The 24,399-nt window shown below is 41.7% G+C and overlaps 1 protein-coding gene and 1 pseudogene across 18 annotated transcripts in view; one reads left to right on the top strand and one right to left on the bottom strand.

The window, feature by feature from the left end:
* HHAT (hedgehog acyltransferase) overlaps positions 1-24,399 on the top strand; it is a 348,963-nt gene that overhangs the window by 125,479 nt on the left and 199,085 nt on the right. For all 18 annotated transcript variants that reach the window (XM_047424804.1, NM_001122834.4, NM_001170564.3 and 15 more), the window contains one exon: positions 11,699-11,849. In XM_047424804.1, the coding sequence (XP_047280760.1) occupies positions 11,699-11,849 (151 nt within the window). The remainder of the gene's footprint in view (positions 1-11,698; positions 11,850-24,399) is intronic.
* BPNT2P1 (BPNT2 pseudogene 1) lies at positions 9,539-10,206 on the bottom strand (annotated as a pseudogene).

The raw sequence follows: 24,399 nt of genomic DNA on the forward strand, positions 1-24,399 counted from the left end.
AGAGCTTTAGCAAGGGATTTGAGAGTGAGCGAGGAGATAGAAAAGTGAAAATAATTGAAAGTTGGTTGTTCTTACATGGCAAAGTTTATAATAAAGCTTTGTGGAATGTACATTAGAGTCCTTTTTGAAAGACTTAATTGTTCACTGATTGGAGATTAAAAACCTGTCTAAGTGTAAGTAATCAGAGTTTTTTAGCTCAGTGTTTAAGTACCAACTGTTGTTGAAATAACGCCTGTGCACCTATCTAAATGGTAATGAAATGCCAGCAAAGTTATCCATTTGCTTTTTCTCATTCTACAACATAACAGTGAGAGGAAAGGGATAAGACATTTGACGTCTGATCCTTGTTTTGAAAGCTGGGGAGACAAACATATATCAGTTAGCATAAGATTCCTTTCTTTTTCCCCTCTTTTGAGGCATTAAACATTCTAAGGTTCGTTAAGATACAGTAGAAAAAATTTTTATAAATTTTCTTCTTGGATTAGAATCCTAAGGTTATTTAAAATTAATGCAGTGTAAACCTAAAGCTACTCTGGGATTTACTACTCTGGAACTTGACTGTTCAATTACAGATATTCTATGTAGTGTGAAGATAATTTCATGGTGCATGCTTGCAGAATGGAAGAGATGCCTGCTTGATGTGCTGTTATAAATATATACTGAAATGTAGCAAGTTGCAGCACAGTTATTTAAAATACCCCCTATTCCGTGCCTTCCCTTTCCCCCTTTCTCTCCTTCCCCCATAGTCCCCTCAGAATACCATGATCTTTGTTCATTCTTAACTAACTCATTATTGTGCTGAGGTAACTTGGTGTACGGACAACTTCTTAGATGCAGAAAATACTTGTATGTTTCTTTTAAACCAGGTTGACATATGGAAATCTGAATTTGTTGGATACTTTGAGGGGGGTAATTATTTGCTTTCTAAAGGGATTCTTTACTTTTTTGAAGGATTTGCAATAGAATCCTTTAATTAGTAGTTAATTTCCAATTCAGTCTACACATAGATTTTACAGAGCACTTCTTTTAGGCAAAGTGAGTGATGGACTGTATTAGTTTGTTTTCACACAGCTGATAAAGACATACCCGAAACTGGCAATAAAAAGAGGTTTAATTGGACTTACAGTTTCACATGGCTGGGGAGGCCTCAGAATCACAGAGGGAGGTGAAAGGTACTTCTTACATGGCGGTGACAAGAGAGAAATGAGGAAGAAGCAAAAGCAGAAACCCCTGTTAAACCCATCAGATCTTGTGAGACTTACTATCACGAGAATAGCGTGGGAAAGACTGGCCCCCGTGATTCATTTACCTCCCGCTGGGTTCCTCCTGCAACACATGGGAATTCTGGGAGATATAATTTAAGTTGAGATTTGGGTGGGGACACAGCCAAACCATATCATGGACTCTGCCTGAAAATGTGCTTTTTAGAATTTTCAGACATTTTGCCCTGTGTAAAGCTCCCTTCGGCCGGGCACGGTGACTCACGCCTGTAATCCCAGCACTTCGGGAGGCCGAGGTGGGCAGATCACAAGGTCAGGAGATTGAGACCATCCTGGTGAACATGGTGAAACCCTGTCTCTAATAAAAATACAAAAAAATTAGCCGGGCGTGGTGGCGGGTGCCTGTAGTCCCAGCTACTTGAGAATCTGAGGCAGGAGAATGGCATGAACCTGGGAGGTGGAGCTTGCAGTAAGCCGAGATCGTGCCACTGCACTCCAGTCTGGGTGACAGAATGAGACTTTGTCTCAAAAAAAAGCTCCCTTCTTGTCCCACATTATTTCATTAAGTCTTGCCTGGCTATGTGTGTGGAGTATTACTTTGCTTCTGCTGTGTGGGATCTTCTTCCCTGCATTTCTTGAATCAAGTACAAGATGTCAGCAGGTGATATCCTGAGGAACAAGATGGGCAAATAGGATTTAATATTCTACCTAGGTAAATTGTGTCCTCCAGCAACACATCTTTCCTTTAAAGAGGGACATTTTGGTGGTTTGAGCCCGTTAAGAAGCAATTTTCCAAAACCAAATTTTTCCATGTCTAACATGTTCAAAGAATAGTCACTCTGGGAAGTCAACTCTCTCTTGGGTTTCCAAGTTAATAACCACTCATTGTGACCTTGAAAGGATCAGTTTGGTGTTAAAGAAAAAGAAGAAACAGTTACCTGGGAGAGTGTTAGTTCATGGTTGCCCAGTGTAGAGCCCTTTCTACAGATCACTGGCTCCTCTCATTTAAGGACAAAGCAGGGGAGGCTGATGGGAGGCCAGGAGGCAATTTTCATGCAGCTGTTGAAGCTCTTTCTGGGGCTGACTCTTGACCTTGACCGAGACCACCTCTGGGAGCAGCTGAAAGGCTTCCCGAGATTGATGGTCCTTGGCACACTAAGTGCCTGTCTTCTTGTCCCTGTCTTTCACGTTACCTGCCCTTTATAGCAGAAAAAGGTATCTCTCATTGTGCCTGTGCTTCTTTGACCTGGTATTAGTTAGCTTGAAACAACTCAAAGAGCAAATCTGTTCATCTGGAGTTGCTCACCACAACACACCGCACCCTCATTTGATTTCAAATACCTTTGCATACGTTGTGCTCTTTGAGGCTGGATTTTCTGAGGACCTTTAGAGCTCGTTCCCTTTGTTTTTTTGGTTTGTTTCTTTGTTTCCTGCTTGAAATAACCTCTGTCAGCTCCCTTTAACAACTCCCTGGTCAGCTTCACACAGGCTCTGTTCCACGTCTGGCCTCAGTTTTGTGTGAATCTAGTAAACGTGGTGACTTGGAGACAGCTGACCCGATTCAAGTTCCGACCCTGCCACTTGTTACTGTGTGATCTTAGGCAAATTTTGTAACCTTTCTGTGCCCAGGTTCCTATCTGTAAAATGGGGAGTAATAGTAGTTCTCACCACAGAGAGAATGGAGCAAACACTGGTTTCTCCATCCTTAGTTTAAGAAATAAAATATTACAACATAGTTGAAACCTGATTGGGTTCCCTCCTGATTGTGTTTCCCACCCTGCCCCTAAATGGCAGCCACTATCCTGAATTTGGTATTTTTATTATTCTGTATCTGTTTATGCTTTTACTGTTTGTGTGATTATTGTTTTACATGGATATTGGTAAATAATAAGGCCCATGAGAGACGAGATGGAACTGTCTGAGAAGCCACGCCTGAAGGGTGTGTAGATCCCACTTTAGCAACTGTAGGTAGAGGAGAGTGCAAAGCTCTGCCATAGCTCTCATCAGGAGAGCACCAGGTTTTGGCTTTGTCCCCTTCTGTTTGGCTGCTGTCCCTCCAGGCCTGTTGATGGACCCAAGGAGCACAGCCTGGCCTCTTTGTATTGTTTTGTGCCTTCACGCAGAAAGGAATTATGCAGCCAGAAGTTTATAGCCCCAAATCACTCTCTAATCCACTCAAGTCTGTTCTTGCTTCATTTTACCAACATCTGCTTTGTTCGTTTCTAGTTTTAGGGATGTGATTAATGTTCCTCCAGCTTCTGACTCGTTGCCTTTTTTCCCCTTTCTGTCTCCCCTCTCTCCCTGGTTTGGTCTTACTTACTCTGAATACTCAGTCTTTGCATTTCCTGGAAGCAGCCCTAAAGCCTCTTCTGTGAACTGCTCACCAGCCAGATGCAGCGGGTTCCTGGGACCACCCCCTTTTTGAGCACCAGAGGGTCAACTACCGGATGTGCATGGCCTTGCCATCAACATGCACAACCAATTGTTTAGAGCATATTATTGCTGTACTATGAGTAGGGGATTTTGTGATATAGACCGTGCACAGGCAGGTAGATTACATGTGTCTGTCCCTCTTGGTCAGAGATTCAGCTTAGGATCTCCTAGTGGATGAGTCTGAGCTACTGGTTTCTGACCATTTGTCCTTCAGCAGGCCAATGACACTGTTGAGCTCAGAAGTGGGGACACTAGCTTCTCCCTGGTGGGGCTGCTTCTAGCTCTAGAGGTTTAGGTTGAATTGAAATGACACCAGTTGCTGTAGTCATTCATTTCCAGAATTCAATGCTAGAGATGACTGAATTCCTTTTGCTTCTTTAGCCCCTCTGGCCGGTCAAGCTTCACGTGAGGTGTCCCTGGTACCTCTCCCCCACACGCTGCTCTTCCTTCTGGGCTGTAGCACTTGCTGCTCTGGAGTATGTGGCAGCTGTTCCTCAGTTCTGCCCATGACCTCACTCCCTTCCCCTACCAGTCACATTTACTGACTTTGGTTTTCTGGGTGCTGATCCATCTCCTCCTGACCAAGCACGTTACAGAACTCCTGTGGGGCAATAGCTACCTTTTGTTCAGTGTGTCTGCAGAGCCATCATGATGACTCTGAGCACTGGTGGGTTGACCACCTCAGGACATTAGTTTCTCTTCCTCCTTCACCCCCGGCGGGGAGAGAAAATCTCCAAGTCTCTGTTGTAGCACTTCCACCTTATGTTGAGGTTCCTGGTCTGTATTATTCTTGATTCGTCTTTATATTTCCAGTACTTACCCCACATCTTATATATGAGAGGTTCTTATAAATAACCTCATATGAGAAAAAACTTATTAAAAAAAAGTCTAAGCTTCTTGAAGCTACAAAGCTTTAATCACAAAAAAAAGTTAAGCAAAATCTAGAGTAGGTTTGATGTGGACAAAGTAAAAGTTATTAGAGGGACTTGGAACAGAAAATGTCCAGACGAGAGGTCAGGCCACGGACTGACACAGGGGCATAAGCTGGTACACGCAGATAGAGCATGCTTCCTGAAGCTGAGGGAATTGGGAGCCAGTGCCTGACACACACGATGAGATTCGGAAGGCAGGGGTCAAACATGCAAAGATGGCAGCTCTGCAGCCAGCCCACAGAGCTAAGGGGCACCTCTCTCCAATCCTGGCAAACGCTGGCACAAGACACAACTGGATTCTTTCTGTTGCTCATGAATTTTCATGAGGCAGTTGGTGAGTTGTTCTCCAGGTCTGTGGGGGAATTAACAATTCAAAAGGTGATCTCATACTACTCAGACCCTTGTGTTTACCCCCGGGAAGATCTTCTGATCATTAACAAGGTTCACTGGACATGCTACTCTGTGTTGTGTGCCTGTTGCTTGGAGGTCCTGATGTTCAGCCATGTGGGGATGGGCTTTGGGCATCCTGTAATCTGGCAGACAATATCAGCAAGTACAAAAAGACCTGTAAGGTAATGAGTAGTAGAAATGTTAGTTGCACTTCCTCATGTGTGATACAGATAATAGAATACTAGAATTGAAATCATATAAGTAAAACATTTTTTAAAAATCTAAAAATTTATATGTAGAGAAGGTACTTTTGGAAGCATGGCCTTTGGAGAAGATGCCATTGATTTTGGAGCCAAGAGACCTGGGTTAAAGTCCCAAGTGTGGATTGACTCTGAGGCTTGTGAAGGTCACTTAATCCTAATCAATCTTTGCTTTCTAATATGATATATGGGGGCAATACTTGTGGGATAGGGTAGTAAAAATTAACAGTGGGATAATATACATGAAAGTGCATTCATTCTTTCATTCCATTCATTTGTTCAGCAAATACTCATTGCTTGTTTTGTGTTATGTGCCAGGCACTGGTTGGTGCTAAGGAGATGAAATTAAAGAAGAAAGCTGTGATCATTGCCCTTCCGATCTTATAGATAACTAGACTATACAGAAAGCTGAACCACATTATGTACTTGGAAAGTACCATGTGACTATTTTAGCTGGGGCAGTTAGAAAAACTTTAAGAAATATGGCACTTAGATGGGTAATGGCACTTTAAGGGTAACTCTACCCTTAAGGGTAGAGTTTTGACAGACAAAATGGAGGAAGGGGACCTCTAGGCAGAGAAATTGAGTGTGAGCAAAGAGAAAGTGAAGGGAATAATTGGATAAAATGAGTGGTTCAATGAGGACAGGAATGTCAGGGCAGGAAAAATAGATTGGGCTTGGCCTTGGCTTCTCCTTCCCATTCCCTCCACCTTTCAGCGTGAGATTTTTAGCCGCTCATTTGTGGAATAGAGCTGAGAGGAGGGTGATCAGCCACATGGGATCCAATCACTAGCTTCTTCATTTTTAGTTAAAATTATGACAAGGCAAGATTAAACACAAAGAAGGGCTGGGTAGGTATGTATGTCAATCTGGGAAGGACTAAATTCTAGGGGAGCTAGTTGGGATCTTTTCTCTAGCCCTCCTAGAAGTCTTGTAGAATTTGACATTCATCTCCTTTTGTCTTGAAAATCTGTGCCATTTATAGTTTTCAGGGGGAGAAGCTAAATTCTGTTTTTGATGAGCTGAGTTTAAGATGGCCCGTTTGGAAGTGGCCCGTTGTTAGGCAGAATTAACTACACATTTAGTAACTTCAAGGCAGTACCTAACCTAGTGCTAGGACTTCTTTCTCTCCTTTTTACCAATGTTCTTGATACTGGGAATACAAGGTCCCAAACCTACAGAAGACTCGTTGATTTGGTGGCAGGTCTGAACTTCAGTAGAGACTTAAAAATCCTCAGAGCTGACTGTATACACTTCCCGGAAGTACTGTGATACAGTTCGTCTTCCTACTGCGGTATAAGGTGAATTATTCATTCAGTTACTTCTTAAGGAAATGCTTATCAAACATCAACCATATGGCAGATATTAAGTGCTGGGAATGCAAGAGGTATAAGACACCACTCCTGATCTTAAGGAACCTACGGTCTTAAGCTGTACACACATGTGTACAACTGTGGTCTGATAGGATAAGGACAGACAGATCATAAGAAGGAAGTATGATGAGAGAGGACAGATCATAAGGGAGTATGATGAGAGCCCAAGAGGAAGCAGGGTGGCTGCATAGCTGACCTCTTCACCCCCTTCAAGTTTTTGCTCAAATGTTCTCATTTGGATGAAGACCACCCCAACTCTCCTTTTAAAAAGGGCAGCATCTGCCACCTCAACAGTTCTGAGCTCCCTCACCCTGTTCTACAGTTTTGCTTTTTCCATTGCATTTATTGTCCTCTGTCCCAGTTGGCTGTCGCTGAATAACAAACCATCTACAAACTTACTAGCTTAAAACAATGATTGCCTCTGTCTCCCTGTTCTGTTGGTTGACTGTACTTGGCTGGGTAGTTCTTGCTTGGGATCTCTCCTATAGTTGCAGTCAGACATCAGCCAGGGTTGCCATCTTTCAAAGGTGTAACTGGGCGGGATGTCCAAGAGGTTTTCTCACATGGCTGGCTATTGAGGCTGCTGTCAGCTGGGAGCTCAGCTGATGCTGTTCACCAGAACATCTTCATGTGGCCACTCCGTGTGGCTTGGGCTTCTTTATATGACAACTGGGTTCTAAGAGATAGTGTTCAAAGATTGAGCATTCCAAGGGGTAGGAAGTGGAAGGTGCCAGGCCAATGGCAGACCACCTTTGGAATTAGGACAGCATCACTTCTTCTATATCTATTGGTCCTAGGACCTGCCCAGATTTACTCTTGCTGGGGGAGTGGCAAGGTCACATTGCAGAAGACCATATGGGATGAAAGATACAGTTGCAGCCATTGTTGGGAAGTCATTCTGTCATACTTCCTAAGTTAATATAAAGTTTATTTTTATGCCTATTTTTTGTTGACTCTTGCTAGGGTATAAGCCCCATGAAAGCAGGTGTACCCACTGATGCATTCCAAGCACCTAGAACCATGCTTGGCACGTATGTACACAATGAATGTTTGTTAAATGTTCAATGAATGGTGTCTGTTCCTCTGCGTTTAGGTTGTTGCCTGTCCTCGGGGTGTGGGTATTAATCTCATTCCTAATTTACATTCTTTTCTCTTTTAACAGACCGTAACACTCTATAAGGGCTGTTAGCATGCCTTTTTATTCACCACCATATTGCTCAGTGCCTGGCAAGGAGCTGATGTTCAATAACTGTATGTTAAGTGAATGAGATGAGACCATATTTGAGCTGGGATCTGAAGGATACATAGTATTTTGCCAAGAAAAGAAGGAGGGGTAGAGCACAAAGGCAGAAGAAAATACTGTGTGGTAAAAGAGAAGGATAAATGAGACTGCAGTGAAACTATGAGTCCCCTGAAGCTAGGTCCCACCCGATTTGACCTCTAGTCTATTTCTCATAGGACATAACTGGTGATTCCATTTGCCGTACCCTCTGCACATGCTTGTTGAATGAATGAATGTCAAAAGAGTGTGTAATACATGAACTCATATATGGCTTTTTTTGTGGGGAAGCAGTTGGGTTAGATAAAATCAATAATAACTCTTGCTAATTGAGAAAATCTTATACATACAAACCCAGAAATATTTGTTAAAGTATTGAAAAATAGTAAAATGTAATATTTTTGAGCATAACAAAAGCTAGTTCAATTTGTCACATAACTTGCAATCAGAGTAGAGTCATTTATAGTCTTATGTTGCCTTCCTGCCCATTGTATGCCCAAGAGAATGCGGCAAAATATTTAGGGTCAACCCTGAAACTTAGACCAAATCTTAAAAGGGAAAGAGACTAATTTTTAGGTCAAGGGGAAAGAAGAATGAGCCATGCATTTTTCTTTTTTCTTTTTTGAGACAGAGTCTCACCCTGTCACCAGGCTGGAGTGCAGTGGCATGATCTTGGCTCGCTGCAATCTCTGCCTCCCAGGTTCAAGCGATTCCCCTGCCTCAGCCTCCTGAGTAGCTGGGACTAGAAGCGTGCACCACCATGCCCGACAAATTTTTTGTGTTTACTTAGTAGAGTTGGGGCTTCACCATGTTGGCCAGGATGGTCTCGATCTCCTGGCCTTTTGTGATCTGCCTGCCTCAGCCTCCCAAAGTGCTGGGACTACAGGCGTGAGCCACCGTGCCTGGCTGAGCCATGCATTTTTCAAAGGGATAATGAAAATCAACAGCAAGACAGCAGAGTAGTGAAATCCATGGTACAAACACAATTTTTAAAGAAAATTAACACAAATTACTATTTGTAATTTAATCTTTAAATTTAATAATGCTTTAAAAATCTTGTGTCTTTTCTATAAGCTTGTAAACCAGATATTAAAATTTCAAGGAAAAAAAATCTATTTAAGCCTTTCATATCTTAAGCCGTAAGAAATATTCAGTGACAGGAAAATAGAGCACTTGTATGACTTCTTGTGCTTTCCATTCACATAGTGGTTTAAAAAAACCCCAAAATCAAGCCCAATTACCTTATCTTTAATTATATTTAGCAGTAGAGTTTATTAATCGTCTATGCAAAATCAATCTTTTCCTTTGCCCAGTTCTGTATGAAAGTACTAACAAATAGTGAATATTTTGTGCAAATAATGACTCATAAAAATGTAGACTCAGCCATAGATTTTAATTTATATGCCTTGAATCTGACAACTGTACAAAAATAATGTGAAAAATAAAGCAATACTTGAGACATGAAGCAACCCATTTTTCCTGATTTGGCATCCTGTTAGCAGGGAGAAGTCTGTGGTGCTTCATATAGGCAAGAGCTTGGCACGGCCTTAACCATGCATAGTCTTCCATAGGTCCATTGATACCTTCAGTTCTTCAGGTGGATCATTTTCAGCTCTGGAAGCATTGTGCGCTTTAATCAGTCATTCTTACTTTTATGTCCTGCCATCTCTAGTTGTGGAATTTTTCTGGCTAGAGCCTAGTGGTTCATTTTGCATGAGTTGCGAGCCTCCCTCATTGCCATCTCAGCCAGTGAAACTGATTTATCACCCAGAGTGATCACATGCCCTTCAAGTATTTTATGATAGTATTCACATGTATATATATTCACACACACACACAAATCAGATTTTTTCCTGACTCTTTATCAGGCACGTCCAAGAATGCTGAAAGTTTATTCCTAGCCCTTCCAGCAGGTATGACTGTAGTCTGATTTCCAAAAGTCTGAAGAACCTGTTTGATCACTTCTGAATGGGAACAAGACGCAGCGGTTCCTGGGGGTTTCTCCTTGTAGGATGTATGGCTTTCACATTTGAACCACCATCTGCCATCACCCAAACTGTATATTCAGAAAGTGGCTTATGTTTTTCCTCTGGCACCAGGGTTACCATTTATAGCCACACACTCGATAATGGTGACATTCTTTCAAAGATCCTAGTGTAGCATCAAGGAGGTCAGACAGTGGTATTTTCTGCTAGTACCTCTCTGAAGCTTGGTTATTTCCTTCAGAATATCCCAGAAGATAACCTGGTCTGCCACATCGACATGTCCTGCAGTAATTTTCTGCACAGTGGGGCGGGCAATCTTGAGGTGAGAGAGCATGTGGCCATTTATCGTCTCCCCTGGAGGTTCCTTCTAGGCTTGGCCTGTGGCCTTCTTGTGGGCACTGCTGTGGCAGACCCACTGCCTCCTTACCCCACTAGACCTCAGGCCTTCATGTGAGTTTTCCTTTTTTTTTTTTTTTTAAAGAGCTTTATTGGAAGATAGCTCACATACCATAAAATCCACCCATTTAAAGTGTACAGTTCAGTGACTTTTAGTATATCTACAGATATGATTCACCTATCACCACCACCAGTTTTAGAATATTTTCATTGCCTTCAAAAGAAACCCCACCTTTTATTCATTGCTGCCCTCTCTCCCCAAGAAACCACTAGTCTACTTTGTCTCTATAGATTTCCCTATTCTGGGCTTTCATATGAATGGAATAATACAATATGTGGTATTTTGTGACTGGCTTGTTTCACTTAGCTTCATGTTTTCAGGGTTCATCCACATTTGGCATTTATCAGTATTTCATTCCTTTTTATGGTCTATTGTATGGACAGACCACATTGTGTCTATCCATGCATTTGTTGACAGATGTTTAGGTGGTCTCCTCTTTTGGCTATTGTGAATAATGCTGCTGTGTACATCGGGGTACAAGTTTTTGTGTGAACATATGTTTTGTGTGAACATTTCATTTCTCTTGGTTATATGACAAGGAGTGGAATTGCTGGATCATATGTAACTCTGCTTAATCATTTGGGGAACCACCAGACTGTTTTCCAAAGCAGCTGCCTCGCTCTACACTCTCAGCAGCTGTGCCTGGTGGTTCCAGTTTCTCCAGATCTTCATCAACACTTGCTGATCTGACTTTTCGATTCTAGTTATCCTAATGGGTGCAGACTCATGTAGATTTTCTTTTTTAACTGTTAAATTTTGTGGGTGCATAGTAGATGTGTATATGTATGAGGTGTGTGAGATACAGCAAACAGGCATACGATGCATAATAATTGATACAGGCATTCAGTGTGTAATAATCACATCAGGGTAAATAGGGTATCTGATACCTCAAGCGTTTATCTTTTGTGTTACAAATAACCCAATTGTATTCTTCTAGTTATTTTAAAATGTGTATTTAATTATTGACTAAAGTTACCCTGTTATTCGGTCAAATACTAGAACTTATTCTTTTTTTTTTTGTACCCATTATCATGTAGGTTTTAAAAGATTTTGGGAAGGATTTTCCCCTTCGTAATAGTTTTTTAATGCAATGTACACATTTTGGGCATTCTCTTTCCTAGCATCTGTAAAAGCATGACTCCTAAGAGGTCCTCTTGCCTGTCACAATAATGAAATTTCATTGTTTGTTAACCAAAAAATTTCATTGAATAAAACCAGTGTGGAATACTTTTGTGAAATGTGCGAGTTGAAGGGAGGAAGGGGTGTGGGGAGAAGCGGGGCAGTTGGCATAGCTCCTGGGGTGTTGGTCTCCTCCAGGAAACTGCTGTGATTCTCTTCCATGTGTCTGACTGGTCTGTTTGCCTTTCAGGAGGACTGGCGTTAGCCCAGGTGCTCTTTTTCTACGTGAAGTACTTGGTGCTCTTTGGCGTGCCTGCTCTGCTCATGCGCCTGGATGGACTCACTCCACCCGCCCTCCCCCGCTGCGTGAGCACCATGTTCAGTTTCACCGGGATGTGGAGGTCAGGCGCTGGGATTGCTAAAGTTGGTCAGGCATGTCCAGTGGGAGGAGCATGGCTGGGCCGGCCTCAAAGGGTTCGGGCTACTATCCTCTCCCTGTCTCTCACTCAAGCTGCATTTGGCATCCATTTCTTCATCCTACTAACAGGATGACTAATCCATGCTTTCTGGGTCTCTCACAATTATGATTAGTCTGTGTAGATAGGTGAGATAAGAAAGTTTCTTTCTGAGTCTGTGTACCGATGCACAAAGGGTTATGTTTGAAGTGGTTTCTTACTAACCTGGGAAAGGCTACTGTATCTTGATTTATTTAATTGCTTTCTCTTTTTCTTGAAAATGACATCAGTGTATGTGAGACTGTTAAGAAAAATAGACTCAGGATAGGAGGTTAGGCCAGTGTTGCAGTATACTATTTACTAAATCTAAGTTTCATTTTTCTTATCTCTTAAACAGTAGTAAAGATAATCCCTGTCTCCAGGAGTTGTTTTGAAGATTAAATAACCTAATGCATGTAGAGCAGGTGGTATATAATAGATGTTTACAAATGTTAGCTTTAACACTTGTGTTATTCCTATGCTCTGTGGACATGATAGATACTTTTTTCTGAAATTTTCTTTCTTTTCTAGATTTTGACCCATAGTCTTATGGTTGGTGTGGAGTCTCTTTTCCTTAGTCCCCCTGCCATTTCAGATTGTTGTTTTCTACGTGATGGACTTGTTGCTGTGTTCCTCTTATCGCTTCCAGAGTGTAACAAGTGACAGGATTGAGTTTGCAATTGAAAACCTAATGGAAGAACCTCAGGGTCAGCACTGGCACAACCATAGGAGTCGGTGCCTTATTCATGTGGCTCATTCCTTTTTATTTTTTAATTTTTGAGACAAGTTCTCACTATGTTTCCCAGGCTAGTCTCAAACTCTGGGCTAGATCCTTCCGCCTCAGCCCCCCAGTAGTTGGGATCACAGGCTTATTCATTCTTAAATTTCATCTCTATAGGCAAAAAAACCAAGACACAGGTAGGGGAAGAGCTCAATAAATACTGCCATATCTAATGTTGCCATTCAAAAGGAGGTAGTTAGCACTCAACATCCTGATTTTTCATAGTAACTTATTACAGATGCTGAATTTATCAAAGCCTCTCTAAATACATTTTATTTTTGGTCTAGTTTGCTTCTTGGAGTAAGAAATTTCATATGGTTATTGCAAGGAATTGCAAGGAATGAATTGCAAGGAATTGCAAGGAATGAATTGCAAGGAATTGCAAGGAATGAATTGCAAGGAATTGCAAGGAATGAATTGCAAGGAATTGCAAGGAATGAATTGCAAGGAATTGCAAGGAATGAATTGCAAGGAATTGCAAGGAATGAATTGCAAGGAATTGCAAGGAATGAATTGCAAGGAATTGCAAGGAATGAATTGCAAGGAATTGCAAGGAATGAATTGCAAGGAATTGCAAGGAATCGCAAGGAATCGCAAGGAATGAATTGCAAGGAATCGCAAGGAATTGCAAGGAATTGCAATTGCAAGGAATTGCAAGGAATTCAAGGAAGGAATTGCAAGGTTTCTTTTTGAAAGAAACCCTTCAAAAGGTGGGGTTTCTTTTGAAGGTAATGACATTGCAAGGAATGTTGAGTAGTTACTCTGATTTGTCCTTACTTCATCAAATATCACACGTTGCCCTGTTTTCATGGCAAGATTGCGGAATGTTGGCAAAGAGGTGCTCTCTAACTAGAAGGCCAGGGAGTGGTTTTTGTTGAAAAGGTGACCCTGGTTGGAAGGTTCTGTTAACTTTTGATTTACTCATCAAAGTCACTTACTGAGTCAATGGGTTGGGACCCAGCATGATTTGGGAACATGTCACAAGTGTCTGGTGTGAACCTTGCACAGTCCCTCTGCCTACTCAGTGTGAATGCTTGTACTCTTGCATTTCTTGGGAAGCACATACCCCTAAAAGGCTTCTCCCATATTGGCTGGCATGATAAAACCATAACTCCCTGGCACACATGCTGGTTTCTGGGTCCATGTCCATAAATACCAACCCACTGTGTCACCAGAGGCAGTTTCGGCAGTTGACTATATTTCATATTCAAAATGATTGTCTTGTCCTTTATTTTAATAATTTTTTTTTTGTCCAAGGAAGACCTTCAGTTCTATATCAACCACAGAGGTGGAGAGAACATGTCTGTCAAGACCTTTGTCACTGTCTTGATTAGAACTAGACTCATATAGTTGAGACCCCAGGCTGCTGAAACAGTCTCTCCTCTCCCTCATTTAAGACAAATGTGGACAAAAGAGTAGTAATGAAAAGTTAATCTGAGGAGGAAGCTCTGGGGTGACCCCTTGGAATGATGTCGTTCTAAAAAGAGGTGTTTCTGAGGGCATGTGACAAAGTAACAAAGAGGGCCTTTCCTGGGAGTGACCTAGACTTTTATCCTAGCTTCTTTAGCATGCATAGGTGTAGGTTTTCCACTCCACATTTTTAGGTTTCTTGAAGGATTTTCCAGGCTACTAATTATACTTAGAAACACACAGGTCTTTGTACAGAATGGCCATTCCATACTAAGTAGTTAAATTTAGGTATGGAGATGAACTTTTTCTGAGGCAGTGTACAATGTAAGACTCAGAAGTAGTTTTTTAATTGAAAAAAAAGAATAACAATTAGAGTGTCTCTTTTGTGTGATTTGCAGATGCTCCTTTACTAGTAGGAGGAGGTTGACCATGTTTCATGTTCAGTATCTGGTGGCATAACCCTGACACTGGTCCTGGTCTCATTCTCTAACTTTTCTCTTTAAGAATGCTTGTTAAAGGAAACTAGGTTTTGAATTTGTAATTTCTATTAACAGCTAACCTTACTTTTTCTGGGCCATCTGTTGAAGTATTGCTGCAGACAGGGAATGGCTCTCTTCCTAGATTTAGGTTTGAGACAAATTTAATCATGAGCAGATGTGAATGCTGGTGATGCAAATTATTCTGCTGGGTCATGTCAGCTATTCACATGGTGACATAAAGGGCATGGTGGATGGGAAGTGGAGGGAAGAAATGTGAAAACAATCTCCAGAGATGACTTAATGCTTACCTGAACTTCTCAAAGATCTACGCTGAATGAGGTTTAGAACTGCTGATAGAGGAATATTTAGCCACCCCCCATTTTAATGGAGCCATACCCTCCTGAACACCATGTTGACTGATTGCATCATCTTTCAGCCTACTTAGCATTGAGAGACTTGAAGTCAGCAGCCTGCCGTATCAGAGGAATATGAGCTCTACAGAGAACAGATAAAATTGGCCATTACCAGAGAGAAAATCTTCCTTGCCATGCTAGTTCAAATTGACTGTGAAAAATTGCAATTCACCAAGAAGGCCCAAACCTGAAAGTTAGAACCTGATGGGTTTGTTTTTCTTTCCTCTTAAATCTTCTTTTTCATATAATTTCTGCTCAGATTATTTACAGATATAACAAGACTCCAAGGAGTACGTGTATTCCCGCTTGCATGATTTTTCTGGGGTCTTATGGACCTGAGAAATTGATAATTTTCTGCTTAATTTTTGGATTTCACGTTTTAATTTAGATGGGCTGAGATCTGTAATGAGCATTTTTTGCCAGGAGTCATTAAAGATGACGTTGTATGTCTAAGACTCCAAATTAGAGACCTGATCCTATTTTCGTGATTTGATTTCTAGCTATGGAAGCAAAGCGATAGAATTTCCCATGGTGGCTGGTGAGTTGTGGGTCAGTTTCAATTATTTCAGGAATCCTGCACAGCTTGCCCTCTGCATTTCTTGAATTATGATGCTTTCAGGTGTTCAGAGGCAAACTCATGCATGATTGCTTATCCCAGGGGGATCTGGGTGCTGTTGGTGGCTGCTAGACCTTAATATATAGGAGTATCTTTAGGCTGAGAATGAGGAGGAATCTGAGCACCTTCTTTTAGTGAGGCATTGATTGCATGGGCTTTTAGGTCAATAGAATAATTTAGGTCCCTAGGTAGAGAGTTGGTTCAGCATGTTAGATGATAAATCAGTTCTACAAACTGCTGGCTTTGCATTAGTACTGCCTTTGAATCATGCTTAACCACCAGTTGCAGGACAGGATGGTGGTCCTGGAGTTGGTGAAGTATATTATCATGTCTACTGGGATTGTTGGGTAGAAGGCTGGAATAGGGTGAGCATAAAGAAGAAAAGGTCAAATAGGTGCTGTTAATAAAATACTGCTTTTTTTTTGGCAGCAGTCTAGTGACTAAGCGCTGGCTACCTACTAGTTATGTGACTTTGGACAAATAATTTAAATTCTCTGGGCCAATCTTTTAATCTCTGAGGAGAATACTACTACTTTGCCTCATAGGGGTGCTATGAGGATTGAGCGAGCCTGGCGTATAGTAGGTCCTCAGGAAGTGGTAGTTTCTTAGTACTTTTTCTTTGCTTGAAAATCAAACAAAGCCAGAGGTGACTGAGAGGTCCTCCTGCTAATGGGCCGGGTAGGGAGGAAGTGAGCAGTGATGGGACTGGCTGATGAAAGGCTCAATTTCAGCTCTGCACCGGAGATGTGATGATTCTGAGATAGAGACTATGGTGGAAGCAGTATGGGCTGGACCTTCAGAGGAGTGGCCTTGGTCTTGTCATTTTTGTCTGTTTCCTTATGTGAGAGGAGGACTGAGGTGTTAGATGAAAACTAGGAACACCATCTTGTCACTAGATGATGCCTGTGTTCCCCTCTACTTGTCTGTTAGCCCCAGCCACATTGAAGGGAGATGACCACCAGGATCCCTGTGCTAAAGTACATCCACCCCGACAAATCTCCTTATTCCTCAGTTTCTTGAGGCATTAAAATGGGGCTGATCATAGTACTCATCTCACTGGATTGTTGTAAGGGTTAGGTAAGATCATGTACTAAAGCACTGGATACACGGCAGGCATGCTGCAGAGATACCAAAATATAAATGATTAACTGATCATTACATAATTATATAAATAATGATTAATAATCATTACAAATAGAGTAAAATTTATGCCATTTGTTCGTTTGTGGTTTTATTTATGAGACAGTGTCTCGCTCTGTCACCCAGGCTGGAATGCAGTTTTGTGATTATAGCTCATAGTGGCCTCTACCTCCTGGGCTCAGGTGATCCTCCTGCCTCAGCTTCCCAAGTAGCTGTGACCAGAGGCACACACCACCATACACAGCCAATTTTTTTTTTTAAAGTTCTGGGATACATGTGCTGAATGTGCAGGTTTGTTATATAGGTATACATGTACCATGGTGGTTTGCTGCAACTATCAACCCGACTTCTAGGTTTTAAGTTCCGCATGCATTAGGTATTTGTCCTAATGCACTCCCTCCTTTTCTCCCCACACCTGGCTAATTTTTAAATTTTTTGTAGAGGAAGGGTCTCTACTGTTTTGGCCAGACTGGTCTTGAACTCCTGGCCTCAAGCAATCCTCTCACCTTGGCCTCCCAAAGTGCTGGGATTACAGGCATGAGACACTGTGCCCAGACCCACCATTTGTTTGTTTTTTAATTTCTCAGAAAAGAAAGACCCGATAGGGTGCTAAGTGTTGAAGTAGATGGAAGGTAGAAGAGGTGAGTGACAAAAGGTGAAAGACGGATTTCAAATTAGACGCATGGGAGTCCCCTGAATCTGCCCCAGTATGACCTCTCCCTCACTGCTCACAGAGCTCTTATTCGTTCATATAGCTTTGCAAGCAGTTTCCAGCCACTAGACATTTATATTACCTCACATTTTAGGTACCTACCTTAGTCAATCCCCCTCTCTCATAGTCCCATCTCAACAAACTCAAAAGATATTTTCTTTCTTGTAACATTCATATTTTAAAATCCCCTTTCCTTTTCCTTCAAACATAGACTTCCATAGATCAAAGTGGAAAGGGACTATCAAGTTAAAGCAAATTTTACGAACCATCATTATGTTTCGCTTCCTGGATTTATTTTTGCTTCACAGATAGTGTGTCCTCTTCTCCATTTTCTCCCTGTGTGGAAGATTTTTTTTGGGTGCCTTTACTATTGACAAGCTCTTGGATGAGTTTTAGAGTAAGAAGCAATCTGATGTAAGAAGCACCAGACATTTTCAGATGGAAGATGTTGATCACCAGTCACCAGAACATAGTGTTTGAGGCCACAGATCTAGAGCCTGAACTGCCTGGGTTTGAATCCTGGCTCCACTACTTACTAGCTGATGACCTCTCTGTGCCTTCGTTTCCTTCTCTGTAAGATGGAGATACTATAAATGGTATCCAATTCCTAATGGAGCTGGAACCCTGTACCTTTCATGGTAATAGTCACACTCTACTTGGTTGCAACCCATCAGCATATAAGCCCTTTGAAGGCAGTGATCATGTCTTATTCTTGTTTAATGCTGTAACCGTAGCACCCTCCTCAGTGCCCAGCATTCAGTGGAAAGCTATGCTGAATGGACAGGTGGTCACTCTTCTGAAATTTTGATCACCAGGTCTTAAGAGCAAGATTTCCAAGTATTTAGGTCTGGCAGCTGAGCGGCTTCTCTCTGCAGCATGTGGTGACATGTGGCTGTAGGTGTACTGTACCATGACTGCTTGTTGATACTCCACTGTCATCTCCCTGTTTTTCTCATTAAGTATTAATACGTGACATGCCAACATATCACATCTGCCGCAATTTATTTGAGAATGGCTTTGCCTTGTAAGGAATCTAGAAAGAAGAGTGTTTGCCTTTCTTACTTTATGACTGTCATTATTTTATCAGATGTTGTGCCACATCCTAGATAAGAGATGAGGGAGAAAGTTACAAATGTAAAGGAAGAAAAAGGGATTCAATTCAGACTTGGCTAGGAGAGAGGAGTTTGGCAACTGTTTATCTTTGGGGGTAGGATTTTTCTGAGGGGGGTGCTGAAAGGAGATATCCTAATGCCTTACAGAGGAAGATGAGGAACTGGATGCAAGGCTGGGAGAGAAGCCCTTCTAAAACACATCCTCAGAATAGCCCAAACTCTAGTAATAATAATCGTAATAATAACAGCAATAGCAGCAGCAGCAGCGCGAAGAACACATAATGCTTACGTTCTGCCAGGACAGTTATTTTTAAACAATGTTTTAAATTCATTTAAAATAACATTAAGCCCATTAGATGTTAATATAACATTTTTTTCTGAAAAAGTAACTGTTTTCCAATATCAAATAATTTAGTGAGAAGTTTTTTGCAGATTTAAACAAAATTCTCCTAGCAATTTTCAATGCATTGTTGTTTACTTTAGTCACCGTATTATATGACAGATCTCTTGAATTTACTCCTTCTAACTGAAATTTTGTATCCTATGAAGTAGTTACTGTAATTACAGATAATCCGGGGAAATGGACAAATATTAAGAACAAGTCTAATTCATCTAAAATATTCACCACCTTTGGAAAGTAAAATTATCTGATCCTGTAATAAGATCAGATAACATCTCAAAATCAATTAGAAGGTACTTGAGCTATTACAGCTTTGAAAATGTCTGTCCCTGTGTTTGTGCACGCACACACACTCAAGTATAATTTATTCAGAAAAAAAATCCTCCCACACGGCTTGTTCCCACTTCTGCAAGGACAGTTCTAATTTCTTTTATATATTCAATGTATTTAATCTTTACAAAACCCCTGTGAAGTAGATACTATTATTTTTGCCACTCTACAGGTGATGAAACTGAGGCATAGAGAAGTGGAGTAACTCTCCTCAGATCACACAGCAAGTGAGTGGTGGAGCTGCGATTTGAATCCAAGCACATGGCTCTTGAGTCTGTGCTCTTGATCACTCCCTTCTACTGTCTCTCTAGTGAAATGGAACTGAAGCAGATTTCTCCTTCGTGATCTGGAGTATGGGGCTTGTGGGACAGGATCTGGAATTTCGGGGTACCTGAGAATGACTATGGCTTACATACTGACCCCTAGAAAGGGAAATGGTTCAGGGAGTGATGGGAATGGTTCAGTCTGTGTCACAGTTGATGAAAATAAACTCTGTAAAATATTTAAAGAGGTTTATTCTGAGCCAAATATGAATGACCAACACCCAAGACACAGTCTCAAGAGGTCCTGAGAACCTGTGTTCATTAGGTTATAGCTTGGTTTTATACCTCAAGGAGATATAACACATCAATGAATGCACATGAGTTATACATTGGTTTGGTCTGGAAAGGCAGGACAACTTGAAGTGGGGGCTTACAGGTCATAGGTGGATTTCAAGATTTTCTGATTAACTATTGGGAAAAGAGTTATTATCTAAAGACCTAGAATCGATAGAAAGGAATGTCTGGGTTAAGAGAAGGGGTTGTAGAGACCAAGGTTCTTATTATGTAGATGAAGTGGCTGCTCTTAGAGGCAATAGATGGCAAATATATCCTCTTCAGACCTTTAAAAGGTGCTCAACTCTCAGCCAATCTCTTCAAGATCAGAAAAGGACCTGGAAAGGGAAGGGGATTCTCTACAGAATGTAAATTTCCCCTGCAAGAGACAGCTTTGCAGGGTCATTTCAAAATATGTCAAAGAGATACATTTTAGGGTAAAATACTTTAATTTCTTTCAGGGCCTGCTATCTGTCATGTAATGCTATACTAGAGTCAGGTTGGAATTTGGTATCTTATTGCCACAAAGCGTCTGTTTTGTCTTAAGATCTCTGTTTTAAGGTTAATGCTGGTCACTTGTGCCTGAATTTTGAAGGGAAGAGAGTATAATGAGGCATGTTCAACCCCTTCTTCCCATGATGGCCTGAACTAGTTTTTCAGGTCTACTTTTGAATCCCCTTAGCCAAGAGGAGGGGTCCATTCAGTTGATTGGGGGGCTCAGAGTTTTGTTTTCAGTTTACAGCACCGAGGGGGACGGGATGGGGAGAAAGGGAGTCACCAGTTTAACCTGAGTCACTGACTGGGTGAATGGTGTGGGGCCACTGGGGGCTTCTGTTCTTACCTTACATCCTTGTGTTACAAAGAGCAATCCAGAAACAGCTGCCCTGATGGAGGAAGGAAGTGGAGGCTTTACCTGCTGCCCACAAAGACTTAATTTGACTTAATTTCTCCTGCCATTGTCTCCTCCTGCATCTCCTTTCCCACAGCCACCTTGATGACTGTCCTCTTCTTCTCTTCCTTTATCTCAGTTCATGCTGGGTCAGGTCCTCCTTGCTAATGAAAAAAGAGAATTGTCTGTCCTACATCTGCTGGTCTTCAAGCTTCTGGGTCTGCTAGCTCTACCTTATTTCTAATTCAGACATCCCTTCAGCAAAGTCGTGTTGCTTTTTGCCCCACCTCAGTTCTGAGGACTGAGTGCAACCTTCTGTTTCTCTGAAATATTTACAGAATATTTGGATATGTCAATTTCACATTTATATGCAATTAAGTCTCATTCTTTTCCTGTATAATTTCTGCCTTTAGTCATCAGCTGAGACTTCATCTTCTACACTCCATCTAAAATTTATTTTTACGTAGGGCAGAAATTCCTAATTTGGGGATCCACAAGCCACTGAATCAGTTTTTCTTTAGCTTTTAGAAAGACCACCCCCCATAGAATCCCTGCCTCCTAGCATGGGGGCTGGCACATAGTAGGCACTTAACAAACCGATATTTTCTAAGTGAAAGAATGCATGATCCTTCACTATTCCCACTCCTTTGAGGAAGAGATAAATAATAATTATTTATTTTCTGAGACAGGCTCTCGCTCTGTTGCCGAGGCTAGATTGCAGTGGCGCCATCACGGCTCACTGCAACCGCCACCTTCTGGGCTCAGGTGGTCTTCCTGCCTCAGCCGCCTGAGTAGCTGGGACTATAGATGTGCACCACCATGCTTGGCATATTGAATTTTTGAAATATAGGTTTAACTTAATTTTTTATTTCCAGTGGTTAACCTACCAGCCTAAGTGCCTTTATGGTGATCATAAAATGCTGTCTTTTGCCATAGTCTGTATTTCCTATGTTGACCTGAGACTTCCTGGGCCCATCCTCCAGCGGCATGCATTCCAGGTTCTGTGTTTCTTTAAAATGTAAATGTTGCCATTTTTGTGTGTATTGAAAGACTCAGCATTAGAATCCAAGAAGGAGGTTGTGTTTCTTTATTGAGTCTAGTGGATAAGAGTGAGTCTGACGAGGAGGGAAATGTGGTGAACTTGCCTGGTTGGAGTCCACACTTCTTTTCTTCCTAACTTGGCCTCACCTCAGGTGTTTTTTTTTTTTTCCGTTTTTTTTGTTTGTTTGTTTGTTTGTTTTTGAGACAGGGTCTTGCTCTGTCACTAAGGTTGGAGTGCAGTGGCTCAATCAGGGATTACTGCAGCCTCAACTTCCCAGGCTCAAGTGATCATCCTGCCTCAGTCCCCCAAGTAGTTGGGACTACAGGTGTGGGCCACCACAACTAGCTATTTTTTTTGTTTTTTTTTAATTTTAGTAGAGATGAGGTCTCGCTATGCTGCCCACACTGGTCTCGAACTCCTGAGTGCAAGCGATCCACCTGCCTTAGCCTCCCAAAGTGTTGGGATTACAGGTGTGAGCCACTGTGCCGAGCTCACCCCAGTTCTTATTAACTAGGCAGACCCTTTTGAGTCCTGGCCAGGCCCTGGCAAGGCTGTGTACTTTGTGTTAGGCTTACCTTGCCATCCATCATGCTGTACCTTATCCTGGTTTTCTGGCCTTCATCCCTCTACCTTTAATGCAGGAACTTCTGGATCTCTTCTTGCACAGGGGTTGCTGAGGAAGACTTAGCAGTGCCAGCCAAGCCTCCTCCTTCACTCTGCCTAACTACATTTATTGTGATATGATCACCCTGTGTTTTTGTGGGATGCATCTTGCAAGAGTGGTTTATCAGAGTCCTAACCAGGAAGTAAAGCCAGAGCCTCTCTGATTGGGTTTTTACCTCCACCTACATGACAGACTTCCCTTTCAGGATGCCATGGGGTGACCTGAGGGCAGGGGAAGCTAGAACATGGGACTGAATAATTTCATCCTCTTCTTTCTCTTTCTTTTTCTTCCCATGGTTCACTGTGTCACAAGGGATTGGTTTTTTGTTTCATCTTCCTATTCTCTCTTGATGACATATTCTTCTTTAGGGAAGGAAGCCTTGTGGCCCAGCCCTTGTAGGGCGAATGGCGTATTCTTTTTGTAATATGGAGGAAAATAAGTTTTGACTCATTAGATTTGATTCTGAATTTGTGAGCAGCCAGACAACCACTAGGAATGAGGGATTGCTGAGAACAAAATTCATTGTTTTAGTTAAAAAAAAATCCCTGTTAGGATTAACTTATTTATTCTTGTGTAATTATATTGTTAAGTAAGGATTTAGATATTATCATCAATGAGAATCAGAGACACTGATATGTCCCAGATCACAGAGCTGGTATGTGCTAACTGCATTTAAATCCTAATCCTCTTAATAAGGTTTTGAACCATAAGTGTGTTTGCTCATAGAGGAGCATGTGAAAATTTGCGTATTCTGTAGCACTGTGGGTGAATAGGTTTTTTCTTCCTGTTAGACCAAGAAGAAAGGCAGAAGTTTTCTTATCCTTTTTGTGAGTCCTGAGATTGCAGACGATTACAGCTACAGACAACATTTGTTTTGTGTTGCTATGCAGACCTACTGTCATCTTTATTCTAATCCACCTGTCTGTACAGACATTCAAAGACTTTCTCTTGGTATACTAACAAATTCTCTGATACTGTCCAACTGCTTACCTAATGAATAAGATGAATACTTTGTCTTCTGCTAAGAACCACAAACTGTAATTACCTGCAGGGTAAAAGTTAAGACAAATTCTCTGGTTGTCATGCTTGCAAACAATGCTTTATTCTTTAGCATGGTGTATAAGCCTGGCTCCAACCTTCTATTAGAAATTCCTCTCACTCACCTTACTGGCAATAGTGCAGAACAAGTCTTCATTCCTCAGTCCAGCCTATGCAGCTCTCTTACAAACCTCCATGACTTGGGTGCTGGCTTTTTAGTACCATAGGGCACACTCTCTGGACCCTTCTAATATCAGGCAAAATACCACTGAACTTCCGGAGGCCAGGGACTGCTATACCTTACTGTTTTGTATTTGATATTTTGCTTTAACACAGCCAGTGTTTTGGTATTTAGCAAGAGCCTTGCATTAGATTCTTGGTGTCATAAGTAAGATCTGAGGAACAGCCACATCAGTTTCTCCTGGGAGCTTGTTAGAAATTCAGGATCTTGGCTGCCAACTAAAACCCATGGAATCAGAATCTGCTTTTCAGCAAGATCTCCTATGAACAGTGTATGCATATTAACATTTGAGAGTCACTGGGCCAGATGACTTCTCAGGACTTCTCCTCCTTGACATGCCACGGCTCCATAGACTGCCTGGATGATGGCCATGAGTAACTGTAAATATGTTTGAATATTCAATATCTTACATTCACATGGATCACAGGGACCAGGACCCTGAAGAACTTAAATGGGAGTTTTTACTGACTTTACCAGGGGATGGGACCACAAAAGGACTGAAGAGACAGGTGACAACAAACTTGTTGACCAGCTCTAAGGCAGGGAGGGTGCTGGAGGGCAGCTCTTTGGAGGAGGTAAGGAATCAGGGAAGCT

This window comes from Homo sapiens, chromosome 1 (assembly GCF_000001405.40).
Source record: "Homo sapiens chromosome 1, GRCh38.p14 Primary Assembly".
Classification (NCBI taxonomy): domain Eukaryota; kingdom Metazoa; phylum Chordata; class Mammalia; order Primates; family Hominidae; genus Homo; species Homo sapiens.